Source organism: Homo sapiens, chromosome 18 (genome assembly GCF_000001405.40).
Source record: "Homo sapiens chromosome 18, GRCh38.p14 Primary Assembly".
Lineage (NCBI taxonomy): Eukaryota > Metazoa > Chordata > Mammalia > Primates > Hominidae > Homo > Homo sapiens.
Genome location: NC_000018.10, coordinates 36,773,842 through 36,797,198, shown reverse-complemented (window position 1 = coordinate 36,797,198; position 23,357 = coordinate 36,773,842). Strand labels below are relative to the sequence as shown.

The 23,357-nt window shown below is 43.4% G+C and overlaps 2 protein-coding genes across 59 annotated transcripts in view, besides 1 other annotated feature; one reads left to right on the top strand and one right to left on the bottom strand.

The window, feature by feature from the left end:
* TPGS2 (tubulin polyglutamylase complex subunit 2) overlaps positions 1–17,175 on the top strand; it is a 48,979-nt gene extending 31,804 nt beyond the window's left edge. For 4 of the 14 annotated variants that reach the window (XM_005258242.5, NM_001271955.2, NM_001271951.2 and 1 more), the window contains one exon: positions 10,120–10,690. In XM_005258242.5, coding sequence (XP_005258299.1) covers positions 10,120–10,377 — 258 coding nt within the window. In that variant the 3' untranslated portion in view covers positions 10,378–10,690. Of the gene's footprint in view, positions 1–148; positions 3,092–10,119; positions 10,691–14,067 lie in introns of those variants that run through there. The other 10 variants (NM_001271950.2, NM_001271949.2, NM_015476.4 and 7 more) reach the window with 6 other exon arrangements.
* Positions 9,168–9,717: an enhancer, noted in NCBI's record as "NANOG hESC enhancer chr18:34367445-34367994 (GRCh37/hg19 assembly coordinates)". NCBI's record gives its function as "activates a minimal SCP1, AML or CMV promoter by ChIP-STARR-seq in naive H9 embryonic stem cells {active_cell/tissue: H9 hESC(naive)}" and the evidence as "EXISTENCE:reporter gene assay evidence [ECO:0000049][PMID:30033119]".
* FHOD3 (formin homology 2 domain containing 3) overlaps positions 16,979–23,357 on the bottom strand; it is a 482,508-nt gene continuing 476,129 nt past the window's right edge. For 38 of the 45 annotated variants that reach the window (XM_011526189.2, XM_011526190.3, XM_017026008.2 and 35 more), the window contains one exon: positions 16,979–17,751. In XM_011526189.2, the coding sequence (XP_011524491.1) occupies positions 17,669–17,751 (83 nt within the window). In that variant the 3' untranslated portion in view covers positions 16,979–17,668. Of the gene's footprint in view, positions 22,994–23,357 lie in introns of all 45 variants that reach the window. The other 7 variants (XM_047437839.1, XM_047437843.1, XM_047437849.1 and 4 more) reach the window with 2 other exon arrangements.

The following is a 23,357-nucleotide window of genomic DNA, read 5'->3' as shown; positions in this document are numbered from 1 at the left end:
AAGGAAGAGCAAATAGATTTTTAGGCAGTTTTTCATGAAAATGTACCTCTGCCTCCTGTTCCCAACTCTCCTGCATCCCACAAAAAGAGCACACAGAATGGCATTTTTCCTTTGAATTGTGACCTTGTCTTCCAATTCTGCCTTACAGCAATGGTTCAGCATGTATAAACCTATCACCTACAACACAAACCTGCTCACAGAAGAGACCGACTCCTTTGTGAATAAGCTAGATCCCAGCAAAGTGTTTAAGAGCAAGAACAAGATCGTAATCCCAAAAAAGAAAGGGCCTGTGCAGCCTGCAGGTGGCCAGAAAGGGCCCTCAGGACCCTCCGGTCCCTCCACTTCCTCCACTTCTAAATCCTCCTCTGGCTCTGGAAACCCCACCCGGAAGTGAGCACCCCTCCCTCCAACTCCCTACCAGCTCCAGAGTGGTGGTTTCCATGCACAGATGGCCCTAGGGGTGACCTCCAGTTTTGCGTGTGGACCGTAGGCCTCTTTCTAGTTGAATGACCAAAATTGTAAGGCTTTTAGTCCCACCGACATTAGCCAGGCTCGTAGTGAGGCCTCCAGAGCAGGTTGTGCTGTCCCCTGCCTCTGGAAGCAATGGGGAATTTGGAATCTTGTGTAAGTGCCCAAATAAGTCTGAGTGCTTTCCTCTTCTTCAACACTCAACCCTCAATCCCTTAGCACTGATTGATTAGAGAGGTCCCCCAAAGAAACCACTGGTTTTGACCCATGAAGCATTAGAACTGCATTGTTCATTCAGGAGCCACTAGTCACATATGACTATTTAAATTTAAAGTAAATTGTATGAAAAATTCATTTCTTCAATTGCATTAGCCACATTTTGAGTATTCATGTGGCTGGTAGATTCTGTATTAGCACAAAGATATGGAACATTTCCATCACCACAGAAAGTTCTGTTGGACAGCACTGCATTAGAATATTTTCATACTGCTCTTCCTCAATTAATTTTTGTTGTTAATGTTGATGTCTTCATTGGATGGGTCATAATGTTCCATGAAACCTCTCAAGTACACAATTGTATGTTCTTTGTATCCCTTACCACAAATATCTCGCTCTGCTCATTTCTTTTGCAGCTTCCTATAAAGTTTGTCTTCCTCATCAGTTTCCAGTGAAGTTTCTTGCTTCCAGTTTTGTGTTATGATGTTTGTACACGTTCCACAATTATCTTCCTTATTAACTTTTTAAAGAAGGTGTACTTCTGCTATACTTTATTCTTACCATTTAAAAACAAAAAATTCCCAAACATTGTTTTGCACAACTCTTCATAAAGAAAGAGTTTTAATGGTGCCAGACACTGTTAACAGAAGCTTTCCACCTGCTCTGCCTGCCTCTTCACAGCTCTGAGTTGTCCAGCCTCACTTTGCCTGGTCCCTGGCCATCCTTAGGACAAGCAGTCTCCTGCTTAGAACAGGGTGGGCTTCCAAGAGTTCCTTTGGAAGCAAGTTGCCTGTAATTCAGAAATCATTTTCCCATTGACATATGGGGGAACCTCTAGCCCACATATGCTTAATATTTGACACAAGATAAATCTGACATACCTACTACATTTAATGAAATTTTTACAGAGAAGGTTGCTCAGATTTTCAATTAGGAATGCCTATTTATTTCCTCCCTCTACAGTCCTGGCTGTGGGCAGAAGCAAGGCCTTCACCCTGCTTCCCAACAGGGAAAGTGGGGAGTCACCCACCTAGCCCCAAGTTCTTTGGGTGGCTGCAGTTTTTGTACTGAAGTCCCAGAGGTTAGAGAATTAGGAGTTTTGAGGAATGAGGTGCAGGGGCCTCTACCATCTGCACACTTCAGTCCCAGCTGGCTCATTCTCTTTCCTGACTTCTCTCTACCCCGGTGATTGGCCAGACTTCCTTCCTTTGCACTGTCTACCTGCTAATCGACCCAGGGTTTCCCTCTTCCAAACCCACTGGGGAACTAAGAGCAGTCCACAGGATTCTCCACATGCACTTTTGCTCTGAAACATGTTTATTTTGATTGTTGACAATAGTGATAGATATTCATGAGAAAGCGCCTTCGATATCTCCTCCACCTACCACTTTCCATAGCCCCTGAGGAAAACCAAGGTGAAGAGTTAGCCTTCAAGGATCAGGGCAAGCTCTAACTGGCTGCTTCCCCATATTTGTAATAGTTCAAAGTCTTGAAATATCAGCGCTTAAGAGTCTTTGGGAGCATAAACTGAGCTTCGTATTAACAGCTTCTTCATTTGCTTTAAAATAGCGAGACCTCTTACCTTTTCAATCCCAAAACTAACCACTTATAATTCAGTGTGGTCATTTAAACGTGTGTGTGTGTGTGTGTGTGTGTGTGTGTGTGTGTGTGTGTGTGTGTGTTTTAACCATAACATGACTGTCACATATTCTCTAGGAGACATTTTGGCCCTTTTAGTTGTTTAGGTTATTATACTTCAAGGATTTATAAATGTGCAACAATTCATGGAGTGGCAGAAAAGGATATAGAGAGACCAAGTTGTTGAGGACAATAGCTGGAGTTTAGTCTTCCAGAAGTATTTTTCTTGCCAGAATTGATCAAAGGAAGAGCCAACGGCACTGGATAGGAGATTCTAGCATTTGGCTGCTTCTCCAAGACAAGCGAGGTTAGAAGGGAGTTGAGAAGTTATGTCATCTTCCACTGCAGCAGATACCCCTTTTTTAGTACTTGGAGATCCCCCGAATCACAGCATTTCTAAATCAGCCCTGGATTCCACAAGTGAAGCAGCGGAGGAACCAGGAGGTCAGCGGTGTCACTCAAATCTGTGGCAATCAAGTGGGAGTTCTCAAAAGGCTATCAAAGGAAGGGGGTTATGATAAGGAAAGGCTCAAGACCTGCCTCAGAAGGAGTGAGCAGGGAAGAGCAGGACTGACTCCACTCAGTGCAGGATCCAGTACAAAATGAAGATGTGAGGCTTTTGTGCAAACAGCAGGAAAACATTACCTTTACAGGTACTAAAATGTAATGTTTTTCCTTTCTTCCATAGTGTCTTTCTCAACTTGTTATGGCTGTGTTTTTTATTTGCTACTTAATGCTGTTCTAACTAAAAACTTAAATGTTAAATTCCTATCATGCATTTTACTATTCATCTTTATATTGTGCAATTCCAGTTTTAAATGAAAATATGAGCACTTGGCCAGGCACGGTGGCTCACGCCTGTGATCCCAGCACTTTGGAAGGCCGAGGCTGGTGGATCACGAGGTCAGGAGATCAAGACCATCCTGGCTAACACAGTGAAACCCCATCTCTACTAAAAATACAAAACAAAAATTAGCCGGGCGTGGTGGCGGGCGCCTGTAGTCCCAGCTACTCGGGAGGCTGAGGCAGGAGAATGGCGTGAACCTGGGAGGCAGAGCTTGCAGTGAGCCGAGATCATACCACTGTATTCCAGCCTGGACGACAGAGCAAGACTCTGTCTCAAAGAAAAAAAAAAAAGAAAAAGAAAATATGAGCATTTACTCATGCAGAATCACCAAAATTACACAATTTGTATTTTATAGCTTATGTTTACATACTGTATGCATATGTATTTCGTTCTTGCCACAACAGTAGAAACACTGTACAAAACTAACTCAACTGTTACTGTTTCACTTCTTAGTATTTTCAGCATAAGTGGTTGGCTAACACAGGAATGTATATGAGTAAAAAAGGATATGATAGGGCTCCTTCATGAATGACATAGGTCATTCATGTTTCTTAGAATGCCATTGCCTTCTTTCTGTGTTTGAAGCCAGTCTGGTTCAGATGGGAAGTGCAGCCTGTTGGGGCTCTCAGCATCCCCCACTTACTCAGTTATAGATATAAGATGCTTACTTTGTACTCACTTTGAATCTCTTCGAGCTCTGACACATCATGGGTCCAATGGAGTTCTCTGCTCACAGGGGATCACAAAGGCTACATGTGAATGGGGCGGTAAGGAACACTGGATATATGTTGCACATGTCTCCTCCGCTCATGCATATATTCTGTTGTCCCATCAGACTTCACTTACAGAACACAGGTTCAAAGATAAAATACTGCCAGAAGAGCACTAAACTAAGTGTGAGGCCCTTCTGAGTATGGGCCCTGTGTGACTGCACAGGTCACCCACCCATGAAGCTGGCCCTGGTAAAGGAGGAGGGGAGCGCTTCTGGCAAAAGACCCAACAACAGGAGGTTAAGTGGGTTAAATTGGGAAAAAACACCCAGGAAATTTATGTTTTGAAACTAAAGCAATTAAAATGGAAATGGGCTATATTATAAATCAACTGCCCAGGAAAAAGACATTATGCTGGAGTCACAAAATGAGAATAAATGGCAGAATGCCTCATGATGCATCGATGTAGCTAAGATTGTACATAAAGTGCTACATCATCATGCTGCTTGCAGGGAAGTAAGCAAGCCAAAGATAGGAATGAAAAGGGGCAGCCTGCACCTGATAATCCACAGAATCTAGCCCTTAAAGCTGACATGCACCAATGCCACTAGAATCATGTGTAGAAAGTAAGATACCCAGATCCCCCTCCAGACATACTAAATCAAAATTGCCAGGAAAGGTTCCAGCCATCAAGATTTTTAATCAACTGAAGTGGTGACAATGATGCTCACCAAATCTGAAATTTGTTACTTAATGGGTCTGGGTGGTTTTGCTTTTATTGCATGGAGAATAATTCAAAATCTGTTTTTATTCCAGTAAAGCATATATAATGACTAGAATAGAAGGACCAAGGGACCTTTTTAGTTTCAGCATAAATGCGTGTATTTTTCTAAACCTTTTATTATGGAGAGTTTTTAACATTTACAAAGATAGAAGAGCATAATGAATCCCCATGTATCCATCATCCAGGTTCATCAATTGTCAACTCATGACCAGGCATGCCGTAGGTAGACCCATATTTACTCCTTCAGTTTTGTTTAAATAATTCTATTCAATTTATCTATTGGTTTTTACACTACACTGCTTTATGTTTTAGCAATTGCTCTAAAGATTATAACTTTTTTCTGTCCAATAGCCATTCAGAGAGTCCCTGGTAGCTATATTTGTCTAGTAAAGTCTGGCCCCTTCATTACAGTTAATTGGACACGAAGTGGATTTCCAATTCAAGTTGACTGTGCTCTTACCCTTGGGATCTTGAGATGAATTTCCCTATTTTTTTTTTTTTTTTTTTTGAGACAGGGTCTCACTCTGTTGCCCAGGCTGGAGTGCAGTGGCGCAATCATGGCTCACTGCAGCCTTGACTTCCTGGGCACAAGCAATACTCCCACCTGTTTCTCAAGTACCTGGGACCAGAGGCACACGCCACCTGGTTAATATTTTTATCATTATTTATAGAGATGCAGTCTCCCTATGTTGCCTAGACTTGTCTTGAATTCCTGGGCTCAAGCAATCCTCCCACCTCAGCCTCCCAAAGTGCTGGGATTAGAGGCATGAGCCACAACACCGAGCCAGATATCCTTCTTTGGCTTAAGCAACCCAGACTGGATTCTGTTTTTCCAGCCATGCATTCTCTTGTTAACACACATGGCCTCCATTATGGAGTTAATTGTGGCCATTAAAAAAGCTAATATATAGTTGAGAATTCAGGAAGGTTAGCTCCTCTTTTGCCCCTTTGTTTCCAGCCATTGACTTTCTATATTACCTATCTTGCCCTGCTCTCCTGAACCACTCTCTCTCTCCAAAACTCCAGCTTGGTCTCCTCCTGTGCTGTTACACCTAGAGTTTCCTCCCAAGGTCCAGCTCCAGTCCACCTCCACCTCAGGGTTCTGGGAAGCCCTAGCCCACAAGGAGAACCCTCCTTGAGGTGAAGTGCTTCATGCCAGTACCACTCAATTAACTTTTGGTCACCTTGCCTCTGTCCTCTGTGTCTTCAGTGTGGAGATGGTATATTAATCCATTCTCACATAGCTATAAAGAACTACCTAAAGCTGGGTAATTTATAAAGAAGAGAGATTTAACTGACTTGAAGTTCTGCAGGCTGTACAAGAAGCATAGCTGGGGAGGCCTCAGGAAACTTACAATCATGGCTGAAGAGGAAGGGGAAGGGGAAGCAGGCACATCTTACATGGCTGGAGGAGGAGGAAGAGAGTGAAGGGGGAGGGCTACACACTAGTAAGCAACCAGATCTCGTGAGAACTCACTATCACAAGAATGGCAAGGTGGAAATCACCCCCATGATTCAATCAATCACCTCCCACAAGGCCCCTCCTCCAACATTGGGGATTACAATTCGACATGAGATTTGGGCAGGGACACAAATGCAGACCACATCAGATGGGGACTTCATGTTACTCTGGAAAATCCATTGCTACTTAGTATGGAACCCCATGAAATATTAATAAACCTAAAATCAGTTAATACATAATCTTGTGCTAAATCAAGAACTGCTTCATACTTCAGGATAGACCAGTAGGAACAGACAACAAGCAAAATTGAGAAAAAAGTAAAAATGCTGTTAATTTAAATGTTTATGCAAATTATGAAAAGATAGTCACTACTTTATTTTAAAGGCAGGATACCTAAGGTCAGCCCACAGACCATCCCTGTCATAAAACTGCCATAATGCAAGATGTTAGCAATGTTCCAATGTCTTGGCATCCAAACATTGTCTCCCAGACTGCCTCTTGCCACTTACTAGCTGTGGCTCAAAACTCTTATCGGACAGTGTACCTTTGTGGTTCTGAAAATGGGATCTTTGTAAACTCACATCCTTATGTTTCCTATAGCTCTTAGCACCCAGGCCTTGTCCAATACCATCCTTGATAAATGTAGCGAGCATTATGAAAGAAACCATCTCTCTGGATGCTTTCAGTATCCAACCAACTACATAATCTCACATGGATAAAATCTTCTGTGAACAGGATTCCCAGGTGATAAGGGTGAAGAGCAGTAGTGAAGACCAGCCAGAGGGTGACATGGTGAAAACATATACCACCACCACAAGAACTGAAATGCTGCTTTTTAAAGCATTATTGTAAGGTGGATTTAGCTGTTAAACAGGTGTGTTCTGCCATGGCATGTATTGTAATCACAGGGTTATACTCACAGGTCTGATGTGGACTCTGCTGAGGAGAGACTGTATCTTCTAGGTGGGATATGTCAAGAGAGAAGAGTGTATATTTGACAGTATTGACTTCACATAGAATTCTCCTTTGTGGACAAGAATTCCCAAGACTCAGAGCACAATGTAGACATAGTGTATTAGTCCATTTTCACGCTGCTGATAAAGACATACCCAAGACTGGGTAATTTTTTTAAGAAAAAGGTTTAATGGACTTACAGTTTCACGTGGCTGGAGAGGCCTCACAATCACGGCAGAAGGCGAAAGGCACATCTTACATGGTGGCAGGCAAAGAGAGAATGAGAGCCAGGTGAAAGGGGAAACCCCCTTATAAAATCAGCAGATCTTGTGAGACTTATTAACTACCATGAGAACAGTAGGGTGGAAACCATCCCCATGATTCAGTTATCTCCCACTGGGTCCCTCCCACAACATACGGGAATTATGGGAGCCACAATTCAAGATGAGATTTGGGTAGGGACACAGCCAAACCATATCACATAGTTTCTTAGACATTGTTTGATCATCTTGATGGAGGAAACTGCAGTCCAAAGCAATTTTATACAAAACTAAATTTAACATAAAACTTCCTGTGTACAAAATGAATAAACAGCAACAAAGTACATATAAAGGTATATTCTCTCAGACCTGTGCTAATACATAGCCATAAACTAAAATAAAAATTTAAAATTCATTCCTCAATCTCCAGCCACATTTCAAGTATTCAGTAATCACATATGTCTAGTGGCTACCATATTAGTTATATATAGAACATTTCCATCATCACAGAACGTTCCACCAGGCAGCCTTAGTTAGAGCAAGCACGGCTTGTTTTATATTATAATTTTCAGAATAATTCTGGTGAAAAGCCATTTTATACTATGCTATAGTCAACAAAGAATAAGGATATTTACCTAATCTTAAGACTTTTTTTTAACCTAAAACACAACATCCTTTTCTACTTTACATATTACTTTTGCAGCCATGGCTCATAGGAAAAGCCAAGGATGAGTTAGCCTGCTGCTACCCATTTTAGCTGCAGAGTGGGCTGTGCAGGTTCTGAGCTTTCCCCATGTGATAGTCAAAGACCCCAAGGCAGCCCCAGCCTCTCTAGGTCTCTGCACAGTCTCCAGTGTGGAAAGCTGTGGGAAAGGAAGGAGCAGGTTCTAGGTCTTCAGGATTTTCTGCATCTTAAAGCAGCTCATCTCCTTTGCCCTCCTAGGGAGCAGGGGGGCCTAGCTTTGGGATCGTCCTCCTAGCCTCAGAAATAATTGTTCAAGAAATAACATTTCTCACACAAAGGATAAATGTTTGAGGGGATGGATACCCCATCTTCCATGATTTGATTATTACACATTGCATGCCTGTATCAAAAATCTCATATATACACCTACTATGTACCCACAAAAATTTAAAATTTAAAATTAAAAACAAAACAAAACAAAACATGTTTTGAGGTAACTGGTACTCCTCTGAAGACCAGCTAGGTTAATCTTTCTTCCACAGCATAAAGACTAGAAAAGAATATGTCCCTAGGGCAGGGGCATAAACAGCCTGAACATAGTTGAGTGTAAAGGAGAAACCCCATCCCTCAAGCAAAAGCTTCAAGTATGGAACACACTAAAGACAAGATTAAACCTCTGGAAAAACAGCTTACCTTTACCAAGGCCCCAGCGCCCAGCTTTATACTTTTCAACTTTATTTTGAAAACGAGGCCATCTCATGGGACAGAGACGGTGATATGGATGGTACTTGAGGGTTTGTGTTTAAGTGCCTGGTGGTTCCAGGCCACATCTGCTACCACACGTGGTTCTAGACCCTGGCTACACAGGTTCTGGGACATGGTGTTGGGGCTCTAGAATGTATGTTTATTGAGCAACTCAGTGTTCATCAGAAAAAACTCAAATTTCCTGTGAAAATTAGATTCTAAAATAGATGGCTGTGGCCTTAATAACTATCTTCACAAACCATGTTTTTAGGCCATTAAAAAATGGTAATCCGTCTTCAATATAATATCAGAAACAGAATTCAAGCACAAGACAAATTCAAAAATCTGTCTTACATTTGTTCACAAACACAAGTCCATATAGTTTAACCCAACAGTGAACTTCTATATGTGTGTGTATACACACACAGATAGATTGACCAATAGATAGATAGATAGGTTTAGAAAGTTCTAAATTACCACAACCCTTAGAATTTCAGGCAATTTTTTCTTCCAAAGACATAAATATTATTTTTTCATAACACCTGCTGACAGAGGGATAGCTAGCTGGATTAGAGTTCACTTCCTTCTATTGAGGTGGCATTTCTGAGGATGTGTTGCATCTCTGTGAATGAGCTCCTTTAATTCTCACAACATTCCTAATCGCATGCCTAATCATCTAAGCCAAGAAAGCCTCTGAAGTTGACTGAATTGCTCTATTCTGTAGCCAGTTTACCACCTGCTGCTGTGTGCTGAGTTCCAGTAAAATCACCTTGTCTAAATAAGTGTATCATCAAGGATCCCTCTTTTCAGGGACTGGATAAAATGGCTACAAGAACTGTCCCAGGCAGCCAGCTCTTCCTGTATAAATACCACGTTTTTATTCAGTTCTTATTTGAAAATTGCGATTTAAAAAACTATAATTATTCCCTTGGGTACATGACAAGTGTTTTTTTGGAAAAGCAACTTTATTTCCTAGCCCATTGCCCTGCCCAAAAGCATCTGGCTGTTCCCCAGTGGGATCGCTCTCCCCAAAGAGCAGTGAGGGCTTAAAAGCATTTTTAGGCAGATACTATTAGGGGCGAAGTCTCTCTCTGAAGGGAAACAAAATTTTTGGTTAGTTTTCTGAAAGAGAAAAAGCCAAACCCTCTGCTTAGCTGGGCCAACTGAATAGTCCACATACTGCAGTGACCTCTCATAGTTCAGGAAAACTGCTGCTGACACAGAGGAACACAAGGCCCCCTATTACCTTGTGGCTCATTTAATGTGCTACCTGTAACATGCTATGCATGCCTCTGGAATATCTTTAAATTCTGAACCAAGACCCATGTATTCCTATTTCCATCTGCACCAGATAACTTATAATATCAAAATGAATAGAAGAAAATGTGTTCACTGGAAACTGGCTGTTGAGCCCCTCCAATGGGAGCTGAGGAGCTGTGTCTCTGCAGGCATGGGGACTGGCCACAAGCAAAGAGTCAGCAGCATGAAGCCCCGGAGCTGTAGCGTGTGCAGCAGGCGCCAATCCAACAGCATGGGAACAACAGTGTCGCAATCATTCCTCAGTTATGGCAAGAATGTGCTATTTTTCACTGTTAGGTGTTGCTTCTGAGAACTACAAATAAAACTCTCCAACCAAGTGAACAGACTCTCTGCTGGCCAAGGGGACTCCAGAGAACCTTAGAAACTGAGTTTCTGACCATAACAGGATGGGAGGTCAGACACACCTCATCATACCCCCTCCCTTTTGTGGTTTTAGACACAACAACTGATCAGCATTGATATTAAAAGAGAGATCATAAGACTGACGGAACAACTTTGTGACAATAAGATACCAAATAATAAACAGGATCTAAAGCCATGTCAGCCAAGGGTTAAGTCATGCACCCCTCCCTACACTTAAAGAATAAAACAATTGGCCAGGCGCAGTGGCTCAGGCCTGTAATCGCAGCACTTTGGGAGGCCGAGGCGGGTGGATCACAAGGTCAGAAGATCGAGACCATCCTGGCTAACATGGTGAAACCCCGTCTCTACTAAAAATACAAAAAAATTAGCCGGGCGTGGTGGCAGGCACCCGTAGTCCCAGCTAGGAGGCTGAGGCAGGAGAATGGCGTGAACCTGGGAGGCAGAGGTTACAGTGAACCGAGATTGCGCCACTGCATTCCAGCCTGGGTGACAGAACACCACCAGACGCTAACTGACCCCTTATTCTATCAGCCATAACCATGCTTTGATTGGACAAGACATTTATTTCTGTAACTTTCTCCTGGTAAAAGACCACCAACCATGGACTGGTTCTGGTCAGTTTCACAGAGGCTGCATACTTGAGTGCCTTCCTGTCTCTGCTTCACCTTTTGATGTATAGGGCTTAATGGTAATACATTTAAAAGTCTCCACCCCTAAGAGAACATGGGCCATATGTAACACGTTTTTTCAGTACACATGCGTTAGGACCACCTTCATAAATATTCATAGCTTCTCCTGTAACTGTTGAGTATGTATACTTGGCCAACCCATTCAGCATAAATCCCTGTTCTACCCTCCTGTCCCTCAAAGTGCCTGTCTTTTGGTTGACCCTTTATAAGAAATAGTTTCCTCTCCAGAGTTACAGATCCTATGATTTTTTTGTTGACACTTCTAATTATCCAGCCTATATAATTTTCCTATACATATAATGCTGTAGTTTTAAATGACAAAACATTCTGGAATCATTGTCACTAATCCAGTAATTAGGAACAGTCTCTACTGTCAACAACTGAACTGTGTTTGAAGTACAAATTCCCCAAAATCCTAAATCTTAACTTCCTCAAGTGGATCATCTTAAACAAAAATTATTCTTAAAGACAATAGTGCTCATTAGGAGAATAAAATGGGCTTGGCCCTCCCTCGAGAAAGTATCAGCAATCCAAATAACCTCTCACCATATCCATTCACCAATCAGAGTGGGAAATGACTCTATCATCAAAGCACAAAAAAAGATTTTGCACTTCTGAACCTTTCCGATTGGTGCTGAACCTACATACACGGATGAATGGGTGGATGTGGGATGGATGACCAGTTATGTATAATTGATGAGAAATTTGTACATGACTGCCAACCTTGAACAAAATTTTCAGCGTTCAGGAAATTTTTTTTTGAGACAGAGTTTCACTCGTTACCCAGGCTGGAGTGCAATGGCGCGATCTCGGCTCACTGCAACCTCTGCCTCCCTGGTTCAAGTGATTCTCCTGTCTCAGCCTCCTGAGTAGCTGGGATTACAGGTGCATGCCACCACGCCCAGCTAATTTTTGTATTTTTAGTAGAGATGGGGTTTCATCATATTGTTCAGGCTGGTCTCCAACTCCTGACCTCAGGTGATCTGCCCACCTTGGCCTCCCAAAGTGCTGAGATTACAGGGCATGAGCCACCACGCCTGACCAGGAAAATTTTAAGGTACAGTGCTTCAACCCTGTACACGACTAGGCCTCCAGGAGTTTTCAACTTGGTCAAGGTAGGACTGGCTGGCTCCCAAGTCAGTCAGCCCAGTCAGACTGGGCTGCATATTTTGTGCCCCAAAGCATAGCTGACTATTGATATTCAACTAGCAGCTGTCTTAAGGTTTCTAAAAGAACAAGAAAATAACCAGGAACTAGTGAGACAAGCCAGTATATATCACGTCTTATCTTCTGTCATTGGAGAGTTATTCAATATGTCTCATCCTCAGTTTCTTTATATGAAAAATGAAAATGCAGAGTGGCTATAAGGATTCTATTAAATATGAAGTGCTCACACAGAGATGGCTTCAATAAATAATATTTTAGCTATTTTTAGAAATCACTTAGAAAGTCCATTTTCCCTCCACAAATTGTCTAGCAAACACAACTGATTTTTCTACCAAATAGACCACCTTTTTTGACAAACTGAATGGTGCATTTTAATATCATATACCTTCACTGCATTTGCAAAGGCATTTCATCCCCTATCTTAGGCAATTTGGTATTATTTGTACTTATCTGATAAAATGATTTCTGATTTTAAAAATCTAGATATGGCTGCAGAGTGGTAGATGAATTAAAATTTTAATTTCAGTAGATGACTCCTTCCCAGGCCCCAGGAAAGGGCCCTAAGGGAAGGACCATGACTCTCCTTTTTCCCAGATGAATCCCAAGTGCCTGGCGCACAGTTACCTCCATAACGGGTGCGCGGTGCACATTTGGGATGGTTGTATCATTTCTTAGAGGATACCGTGAGGAATCACCACAAGCTTGGTGGTTTATAACAACAGAAATTTATTTTATCATATTTCTGGAGGCTAGCAGTTCAACATTAGTTTTATTGAGCTAAAATCAAGGTGTCGAGCGGCTGTGCTATTCCTGGAGGCTCCAGGGCAGCACCTATTCCTTGCCTTTTACAGCTCTTGGTGGCTGCCAGTGTTTCATGGTTTGTGGCCATGTCACTCCAATTTCGTCTGTCTTCACGTTGCCTTTAGTGTGTATCAAATCTCACTCTGCCTTTCTCTTATAAGGGACACTCATGACTGGGTTTAGAGAATACCCGGATGATCCAGGATAATCCCCATATATCAGGATCCTTAATTTAATCACATTTGCAAAGACCCTTCCTTAGAAGGTAACATTTCTAGGTTCCAGGGATTAGGACCTGCTACTGTTAGATGGCTGTCATTCAACCTGTTACAGTGGTATTTGGTGATACACCATCTTAGGTGTATCTATGAACACAGAAATAGTGGATTTGGGAGCCATGGACAATGTGGAGACCACTCACAGACCAGGAGCCTGGAAACTAAGTCTCCTACTCCTGGCCCCTGTTCTTCCCCCTGCACTGTGTTAACAATGGACTTGGAAGAAAACGAATCTGGGTCACTGGCCCTCCAAGGCCCTGTGCACCCTCCCACTCCATCCCCAGATCATTAAGTTGTTTTTTAAACAGAAAGAAAAAAACCTTAATATTCCAAAGAAACCCAAATCCAGACACCTTTGAAAAGTGTTGCCTTTCTTTTCTGGCGGTTTTGTAATTTCAATACATACTAGGACATAAGTGCTAAGACACAGGGGCAAGAACACCTATGGTAATTACCAGGCAGATGAGGAATAGTATCTTACAAGTGTAAGGTACTATTCACTTTCATGCTTCTTGAAGGTCTTTTAGAAAAATTTAACATCCTGAATTAAAAATTGCTCATAGAGGCTGTCAGAATGAGTGGCATCAAGAGAGGGGAAACAAGCAACAGGAAACATCCTTTAGTTTCACTAAAAACTAATGAACCACTAAGTTTAACAACGCAAATTGATTTTTCTTATAGGCTCTTTTAGGCCTTTTTGATGGATCTAGTCCTCCGGTGGATTTAAATAATCCAAGAGGAAGAACAGGAATCCGGAGCAGAAGGTTCTAGAGCTCCCGGGACTCACTGGCACACCCCGACTGCTCCTTGACATTTGTGGACAGGGCTCTGGGTTCACCTCTGTCCCAGCATGTCTGTCCTGCCACTGAGCTGGCAGGCATTTCCGAGGGTGAAGAAAAAAGAGAGAAGTGGCAAGAGCTGGCCCTTTATACCACTTCCGATGTTCCTCCCATGTTACTGGGCATTTTTCAAACGTTCATTTCATTTCCAAATGTTTAGTGAGGGACTCAATTGCTGCCGCCTCCTGGCTTTCAGGGCAGGCAAGGAAGCGGCAGAGATGTCTGGGCACACAGTGTGAAGGCAGCTTTGCTCAAACATGTCCTAGTTGATCAGTTAATTGATAGTGATTAAAAACCAGCTCTGCCTTGGGGAATTATTACTGGTTTTGCGAAGTTCTCAAAAACATCATCTTCAGTCTCTAACTCCCACTCCATCTCCCCACCAAAAAAAGAGAGAGAAAAAAAATACCCAGTGATTTCCAAACCTATCTTCACATTAGAATCGGGGGGAAGGAGATGAGAAGATCTTTTAAATGTTCCAAAGTCCAGGCCACACTTCACACCAATTAAACCACAATCTCTGGTGGAGGGACAGAAATATCAGTAGTTCTTAAAGCATCCAGGTGAGTCCGATGTGTAGATTGGGCTGGGAATCACCACCCTATCTTATTCTCATACTGCAGTGGCACTATTCAAGATGCTGGGCCCAATAAAAGAGACCCTTTTTACTTAGCTGAAAGCAAGAAATTAGTTGACCTTGCTTGCTGCTTCTGTGAACTTTTTGATCCCTAAAACAAAATTAAGATTAGGTTTATTCAATCACTTCCTTCTAAATATGACCTTCCATTCTAAAGCAACAACTCAGCAGAATACCAAGGACCCTCAGGAGGACATTGACATATTTGTTCACTAAACAGTGTGACAAAAATACAGCTTCCTTTTGTCTGTGCATCATTATCTCATGTCATACAAACATTCCAAATCTGCATTCAGTGCCAAGCAATAGGCGAACACTCTCACAAACTATTAAACCATAAGTGGAATATTGTACCTGTTATTTAGAAGCATATGGAAAATGACTATTAATACCCTATGTATTCTTTTCAATAAGGTGATTAAACACAACCGTCTATAATGTACAGACCCAACTCTCGCAAGTTCCAGGCTCTCCTGGGGTGTTCACATCCATCATGTACTATTTGACAAATGTCTGCTTCAACAAGCTCCCTGTCTCCGTAAGTGGGGTTAGAGCAGAGAGGGGAACACAGGCACAGAGGCCTATGGGGAAAATATAGTCTTTGGCTTTTTAAGCAATGCTACTGCACATTGCCTATAAATCACATATCCCCAGGTTCAGGAATGCAGAGTCGCAGAGGCTATTTTATTTTTTTGGAGACAGAGTCTCACTCTGTCACCAGCTGGAGTGCAGTGGTGTGATCCTGCAACCTCCGACTCCCTGATTTAAACAATTCTCCTGCTTCAGCCTCCCGAGTGACTGGGATTACAGGGATGTGCCACCACACCCAGCTAATATTTATATTTTTAGTAGAGACAGGGTTTCACCATGTTGGCCAGGATGGTCTCGATCTCCTGACCTCGTGATCTGCCCACCTCGGCCTCCCAAAGTGCTGGGATTACAGGCGTCAGCCACCGCACCCGGCCTACAGAGGTTTTAAAAGTAGGACAAAGGTGGAATTAGTGACCTGATGATTTTTCAACCCCTCGAAATACCTGCTGCAATGGTTTACCTTTCCCTGTTTTCAGAGACAGAGGTTCCTCACAGGGAACCATGTGACCCCAGGCCAAGGGGCTTCCGTGGAGGGTATGACCACCATCTGGGTCTCAGACCCCTCAGTATTGCTCTACAGTTGCTGAGAGCCCCTCCCAGTGCCTTCCCATCTGATCTCAGCTGTTGATGACCTGCGCTTGAAAAGCATGCATAGTAATGTGCCACAGAACAGTGATTTGGTTCACTATAGACCACATATATGCCAGTGGTCCCATAAGATTATAATGGAGCTGAAAAATTCCTATCACCAGTGACATTGTAGCTGTCATAATGTCATAGTGCACTGCATTACTCACGTGTTTGTGGTGATGCTGGTGTAAACAATTTATGCTGCCAGATGTATAAAAGTGCACAGTAATGTCCCAGGCCTTCACATTGACTCACCACTCACCTGCCCAGAGCAGCTTCCAGTCCTGCAAGCTCCATTCATAATAAGTGCCCTATAGAGGGGCACCTTTTATCTTTGATACTGTATTTTTACTCTACCTTTTCTATGTTTAGGTATATTTACAAACACAAATACCGCTGTTACAACTGCCTACAGTATTCAGTCAGTGACATGTTCTTACGGATTTGTGGCTTAGGAGCAACAGACTGTATCATATAGCCTAGGTACATAATAGGCTGTACCATCTAGGTTTGTGTAAGTATAGTCTATAATATCTGCACAATGATGAAACTGCCTAACAACACATTTCTCAGCACATATCCCCATCATTACGTGATGCATGACTATACTAAGCATGCGATTCTGAGGCTCTCTGTACACAAAGCTTTACATTTCCATTTTGTTTTGGTGATTTAGTAAATTTTTTGAGAAAATGAATTTTGACATAAGAGGCCAATGAGTGAGTTGTGGAATAGTTCAGATTTGTAAACTGCTGCTCTCATTTTTGCTTCCATATCAGGATGGGGCAAAACAAACCACACAGGTAAGGTGATAGATGTTAGGTTAACAACAGCTAACACGTCCTGTAACAAGGACTTAGGCCCAATTATAAAAGGAGTTTCAAAGAGCACACTGTTGATGTTACTCACTCTATTAACAAAATACAGCCCAAAGGATCTGAAGGCCGTTCCAAGCGAGGGTGCTTCTGAGGACACTGAGAAGAGTTTTGCCATTCTGAAGAGGCGAGCCTGTGGAACTGTTTAAGGTCCTGTTCCCAGAAGAATAAAAGTTTCTCATTATGGCATTAAACTCTATTTATTTAGTATTTGAAACATGGTGTACATGTATGTATTTGTATAAACATTTGTTACATCTAAAATCCACAACAGGTAAACAATCTGTGCTTTCTTTTGTGTACAAGTTTGGGGTTTACATCTGGATATTTTGGTGTTGTGGAGACTCAGTCTGTGAAGCTAATCAGATTGCCTCATATTACCATAATAACTGTGACAGAAGTGATTTGCTCCTTAAAGGGGCTGTTCCTTGCCCAGAAAAGGTGTCACACTTTTGAACTAATAAACCGGGTGTCACGGAATCAAGAGAAACACAGCTGACACGATGGAGAAGGTATGTGCAGGGGACTCCTGGAGATCCAAGTCAATGCGTAGCAGGCAACACAAGCCATGGGGTGACGCTGGGAATTGAGCTCTCCCTTTTCAAACTGTTGGATGTGAATATCAAGTCTCCCCAACCCCACCTGGAGGGGTTTCATCCAGCAAGAGCTTGCCTTCTGCTCAGCACACTCCTGGGAGTAACCTATGAGTGTCACAGCTGCAACTCCGAGGTGCCAACCAAGCCCAGGGCTCTGGCTTCTTCTGGGGTCAGGCCGCTCTTCAGGGTTCTTCGCACTGCAGTGGTGGTGCAGGTCACACCCAAAGGGATGAGAAGAAAAGGAAGTATGAGCAGCAAGGCACAGGGCAGTCAAGACTCCAGTCCCCCCTTCTCCCCAGGGACTTCCAGAGAAGCCAGAGGGTTCACACTCTGTACCTTCCTGCTCTTGCTGAAGTGCCCTGCAGTCTGTCTGCCAGGACAAAAGTTTGGGGCTACACAGGCTGGCCTAACAATGCCACAGGTGCTGATTTGGAGGGCCGAGAGGAGTGATGCGGGCACTTATAAAGAGGAGAGAAAGGAGGAGAGGCTCACCCTCACGAGGCTTCTGAGAAGGGGGTGAACTGCAGAAGTGCAGAGGGCAGGAGAGACCTCAGCATCTACCCAGTATGAGGAGTGTATCAGAGCTGGGAAGGTGATTCCAGAGCAGGGGAAAATGCAAGCTCCACTAATACAAATGAGGTGAGGCAACCAGTGCACAGCGAGGGGTTCCACAAGACCCAACAACCTCACAAATCCAACAGACGACCAACAATAGCTGGGGACATGCTCAAGACCCACAGAGCAAGTGCATGAAGCCAGGGCAAGGGGCAGCAGTGAGGACAAATCTCTCCATGAGTACTGTGGGTCTTAGCCTCAACTCACTAAAAGGCCTCTAGAGACAATAATTAAAATAACCAGTGGCTCCTCGAGGAATGGAGGCTAAGGAGCAAACTGCCAAACTTATTCTGGCTGGAATTGGTGGCTGTTTTCTATGGAACACACAAGACTCAAGAATGGCCAATGACCACTCTCACTGGGGGGTTGCAGTTGGCAACTGGAGGGATGCTCATATTTAACTGACTTAGAATTGGCTTGTGTTTAGCTTGGCATGATGGTATTCCCATTGTTTAGTATTTCAATTTCAACATCAAAATAAAGGCTGGATAAGGGTGAATGAGGAGGTAGCTGCCTCACCCAAGACAAGTCTTCATTTGAAAGGGTGGCTAATTACATTTTCCTTAATTTACAAATTGTATTTGACCCACTGTGTATTTCTTTAAAGTTCGCACAGAGTTTGGGGTATTCATTTTCAGAAGAGAAACGTTATGGATCTGCCTTCACCCTAAATCCCTAAATCAGCCAGAGTTCCTGAGATGACCAGGGCAGGCTGTTGATCAAAGTTCAGAGAAAGTAAGCTCACCTTAATGTCTCCCCAGTTCCTTTGCCAACTCCCCTCATCTACTCCCCAGAGGCCAGGGCCCACCTCATGCATCTGCAGGCCACACCCCATGGTCTATGCCTTCCCATCATCCCCTAAATATAAGCTCACTCAGCCTGTGGACAAAAGATCTGAAAGACCTATGTCCATGGCAGAATCAATGGGGACTAATACCTATTATGAAAATAAAGGGCTCCTTCTCTTCCAGGAATCAGCACTTGGAACAGGGGTCAACATAATATCCATCAATTGGTCAACCAACAAATGATTTATTGAGAACCCATTGTGTGCTCAGCATTTAACTCAAAGAATCAAAACACAGACATCAAGTATGGGTTTTTAGAGAGACATGGGATATGTGGTGAGGGGTTCTCTCAAATCGTGTTACTGCAACTACTGTATTTCCAAGCCTACCTTTGGGCCCTGAAGCAATCTATCTGTAGCTGTTCTTGCACTAGCTCCTCTTTCCCCCACCCCTGATCCCTTGGCCTCCAGACTGAATGTTTGGCTCAACAAGACAAAATGTTTGGCTCCTAAGTCTCAGCTGGAGACAGATTACATTCAACTGAGCAACAGAATTTGTTCTATGGGGCAGCAATAAAAATACTAGTTTGTAATAACCTTTTATGTTCTTTAAAGACTCCTTAGAGTGTTTGTTAAAGAAAGATAATTTTAACAACAGTAAATAAGATAAAATATCTCTCTTGACAAGAAAGACCTCTTGCTGCAACTTCTTAACCAAGATACAAAATACTTCCTTAAAAAGTCCATGCTGGCCGGGCACAGTGGCTCACACCTGTAATCCCAGCACTTTGGGAGGCTGAGGCAGGTGGATCACTTGAGGTCAGCAGCTTGAGACCAACATGGTGAAACTCCATCTCTACTAAAAATACAAAAATTAGCCAGACATGGTGGCACACATCTGTAGTCCCAGCTACTCGGGAAGCTGATGCAGAGAATTGCTTGAACCTGGGAGGCGGAGGTTGCGGTGAGCCGAGATGGTGCCACTGCACTCCAGCCTGGGTGACAGAGCGAGGCCCCATCTCAAAAAAAAAAAAAAAAAAAAAAGAAAAAGAAGAAGAAGTAGTTCATGCTGCACTAGCTGGGCATCTTAAAATTTCACCAGCCACAGAAGGTGGTGTGGACATCAGTCTATGAATCTTTGTCCATTTAGGTATATATTGTGGCTGAATGACTACAGAAGACCCCACAGATATTTTACCCATGAAGGTATTTAAAGATGCTTAACAATTCTGTTTGCACATTTGCTTTAGTCCTGTAACTGCTCAGTTCAGTTGATATAAATATTAATACTCGAATAAGGGCCCGGTCACCTTACAGCTCATGTAACAATCTTTTAATAGCTTCGGACATTGAGCCAGCCTATCTGGGACAGGCTCAGAGAACAGAACTAAAGGTACCTTTATGGGTCTTGCTACCTGACAGCACAGAGCCTGTGCCCTCTCCCTCGTGGGTCTACTCATGGTTTGGATATTCCAGACCCCTTGGGATGCTGCTTCACCCTCTGGTCTGGGCTCATGTGTCCTCTGCTGTGAGGGAAAAGCCAACATAGGCTTCATTCCCTTAGCTTGCCAGATGTATCCCTGAAAAGCGAGTATTCATGGAAAAGTCTTCCCCATTTATGAAATTCTACTTTCTGTGGACCTCCATGGCAATTTGAAAAAAATTCTCTTAGATATATGTTATCCCCTTGGTGTAATGAAAAATACCTGAGAATCTGAAACCTTCCCTTTGTTAGCCAAAGTTAATTCACCTCACCACTTGAAAGACCACGTGAAATGAAAGTAATCAGCTAAAATCAGTCTTACACCCAATTCAAGTCACACGCGACAAGAGCCCCTTTGGGTGTTTGGTCAACCATCTGTCTGCTGGTCAGTTTCTTTGCCATTCATCAAACATCATGTACATGTACACCCTGAGCCTCTGCGATGGGAGCCTCTGGGGAGAAAGGCAGGGGCCTGATGGGGACACAGTGTGGGGAGAAACACTCAGGGCAGCAGATGGGGTCCAGCCAGGGAGCTGGCTCTCAGAAAGTTTCCAGAAAGCAAAAAAAAAAAAAAGGCTGGGGACATAAGAGAACAAAACAAGGGGGCCAGCAAACAGGTGCTGGCAGGGTATGAAATGGTACACAGCAAACTTCCACAGCAGAAACAACTCTGCCACCCAGTAGAGAGGCTTCTCCAGCACTGTGGCAAGGTCGGCTGGCTGCGGATGACACCTGGGCCTCTCCCGACTCCTCATTTCCACTTCCCACTCAAATGCTCCAGCTGAATCAAAGCTGCTCTCCAGCCTTTCCCACGGGACGGCCTCCCCTCAAAGCTCATAACAGAGAACAGACTGGAAATGTTTATCCCTGTCTGCCTTGCAACTCTGCCATAGATGGCATGGGTCACTCTGAAGGCACCAGCAGCCACACTGCACCCCAGGCCCTGGTGACAGTTCTCACGGTGTCAAAGTGATGGTGGAAGAATCTGATGTGGGGTGCCTCTGCTGCCAGCATGCAGCACAGGACTGTCTGGGGACTCAGGAAAAACACCCAAGTTCTTTTTCTTCCTCCCTAGAAATGAAAACATTAAAAATTCCCACAAAGGGCTCACAGGTGACTCTACTAAGATGAGTCGCATCCGAGAACAATGGCAATGGCAGCCACCATTTACTGAGTGTTTACATGGGTTGTTTCACTTAATCTTTATGGAAACACTGTGAGATGGGAACTCTTGTTATATCTTCAATAAGTGAGCAAACCCGGACCAGAGAACCTGGTCACTGGCCCAGGGCTCACACTTAGTGGTAGAGAAGGGTTTGAGCCGACTTTGGATCACAGTCCACACTGGAAACAGCTGTGCCCTGCCGATGCTTGGCAGGACAGTTCCTGACCATCTTTCACATCAACAGGAAATCGACCCAACTTTACTTTCAGGTGACAGAAATCCATCTGTGCGCTTTCACCTTTGCAGCACTGAGAGATGTTATTTCGGGGTTTTTTTGCACATAATTATCAAGTGTAATTTGAAAATCGTTTTTTGGTTTTTTAATCCCAAAGATCCCAAAGATTTTCTACCAGGTGTACTGGGAGCAATGTGTCTAGGAGTCTAGTTGACTAACATCAGAACTTCAAGATGCCTTAAATGTCCATGTCTTGTGGCTGGGAGGTCCCGGGCTTGGCCACTGTTCAACACCGTCCATTCACGCCCTCCTTGTTCTGAGTGGACGTAAAACGGCAGGGCCAGATGTGCTCCCTAGGACTTCCTTTTTTTCCACATAAAATCCTGTCCATTATATGCACAGCCTTCCCAAATGGAAGGATGTTCTACAAAATAACTGGCCGGTAATTTTCAAAAATACCAAGGTCACAAAGTGTCCTCACAGATTAGAGGAGACTAAGCAGACATGAGGGCTAAATGCAATCTGGAATCCTGGGTAGGATCGTAGAGCAAAAATAGGACCTTCGTGGCAAAACTGGTGAAATCTGAATAAAGCCTACAGTTCGGTTAATAGTACTGTACCAGTTTGAATTTCCTGGTTTTGCTAAATTGTCCTACTATTTTTGCAACTTTTCTGTAAGTCTTATATTTTTTCAGAATAAAACGTTGAAGCGATAAAACCCAGAACAACAACAAAAAGCAGACATTCCCAAATCTAGTTGACTGAAATTCAATTTCTTGGACTCACCCCAGACACACTGAGCAAGAGTCTTGGGGAGAGGCTCAGGCACTGCATTTGAACCTTCCCTGGGTAATCAGATGTCCAGGTTTGGGGCCCCTCACTTAAATCACTGTCATCTGAGATGCAGGAAAAGGCGGGGTTTTCAGGACAGTGACAGTCTGTGGTGACAAGGTTGAAGTCTCCTAGTTCCATCTAACCCAAGATGAAGTTCACTGAGGCTGAGACAGCACTCAGAAATACTCATGGCATTAGGCGCTTTCTGCCATCACTGGTCTGGCTGTGGCTTCCTTGGCCTTGCAGAGCCCAGCCCATGCCCTCCTACTATACCTGTGGCTACATTAGCATCCAGTACTCCTGAAGACTCTTTTTGGTTCCTAGGTAGGAAAGGAACAGAAGGCAGTCAGTTAAAATGCGAACACCAACTGCCTCCTCCTATGAGTCATGTTGGAGGTGGGCAAAGGGAGAGTTTGGCCCGAAAGGAAAAATAAGTTCTGCCAATTGTTTTCTGGGACAATCTACCTAAACTAAGGATAGAAAGGAAAGGCAGCTCAGGAATCTACAGACTTGAGTTTTCCACAATATTTTAAGTTCTGGGCAGGACAAAACTGCCTTTCCCCTTCCCAGATTAAGTCGAGAGTGTCAGCCCTCTGCCTAGGTTATCTCAACAATGCTAGCCAAGTGCTATGCTGACAATGCAGCCTTTATGTGCCAGTTGCAAGCATTCTGGGGGTAAAAAAG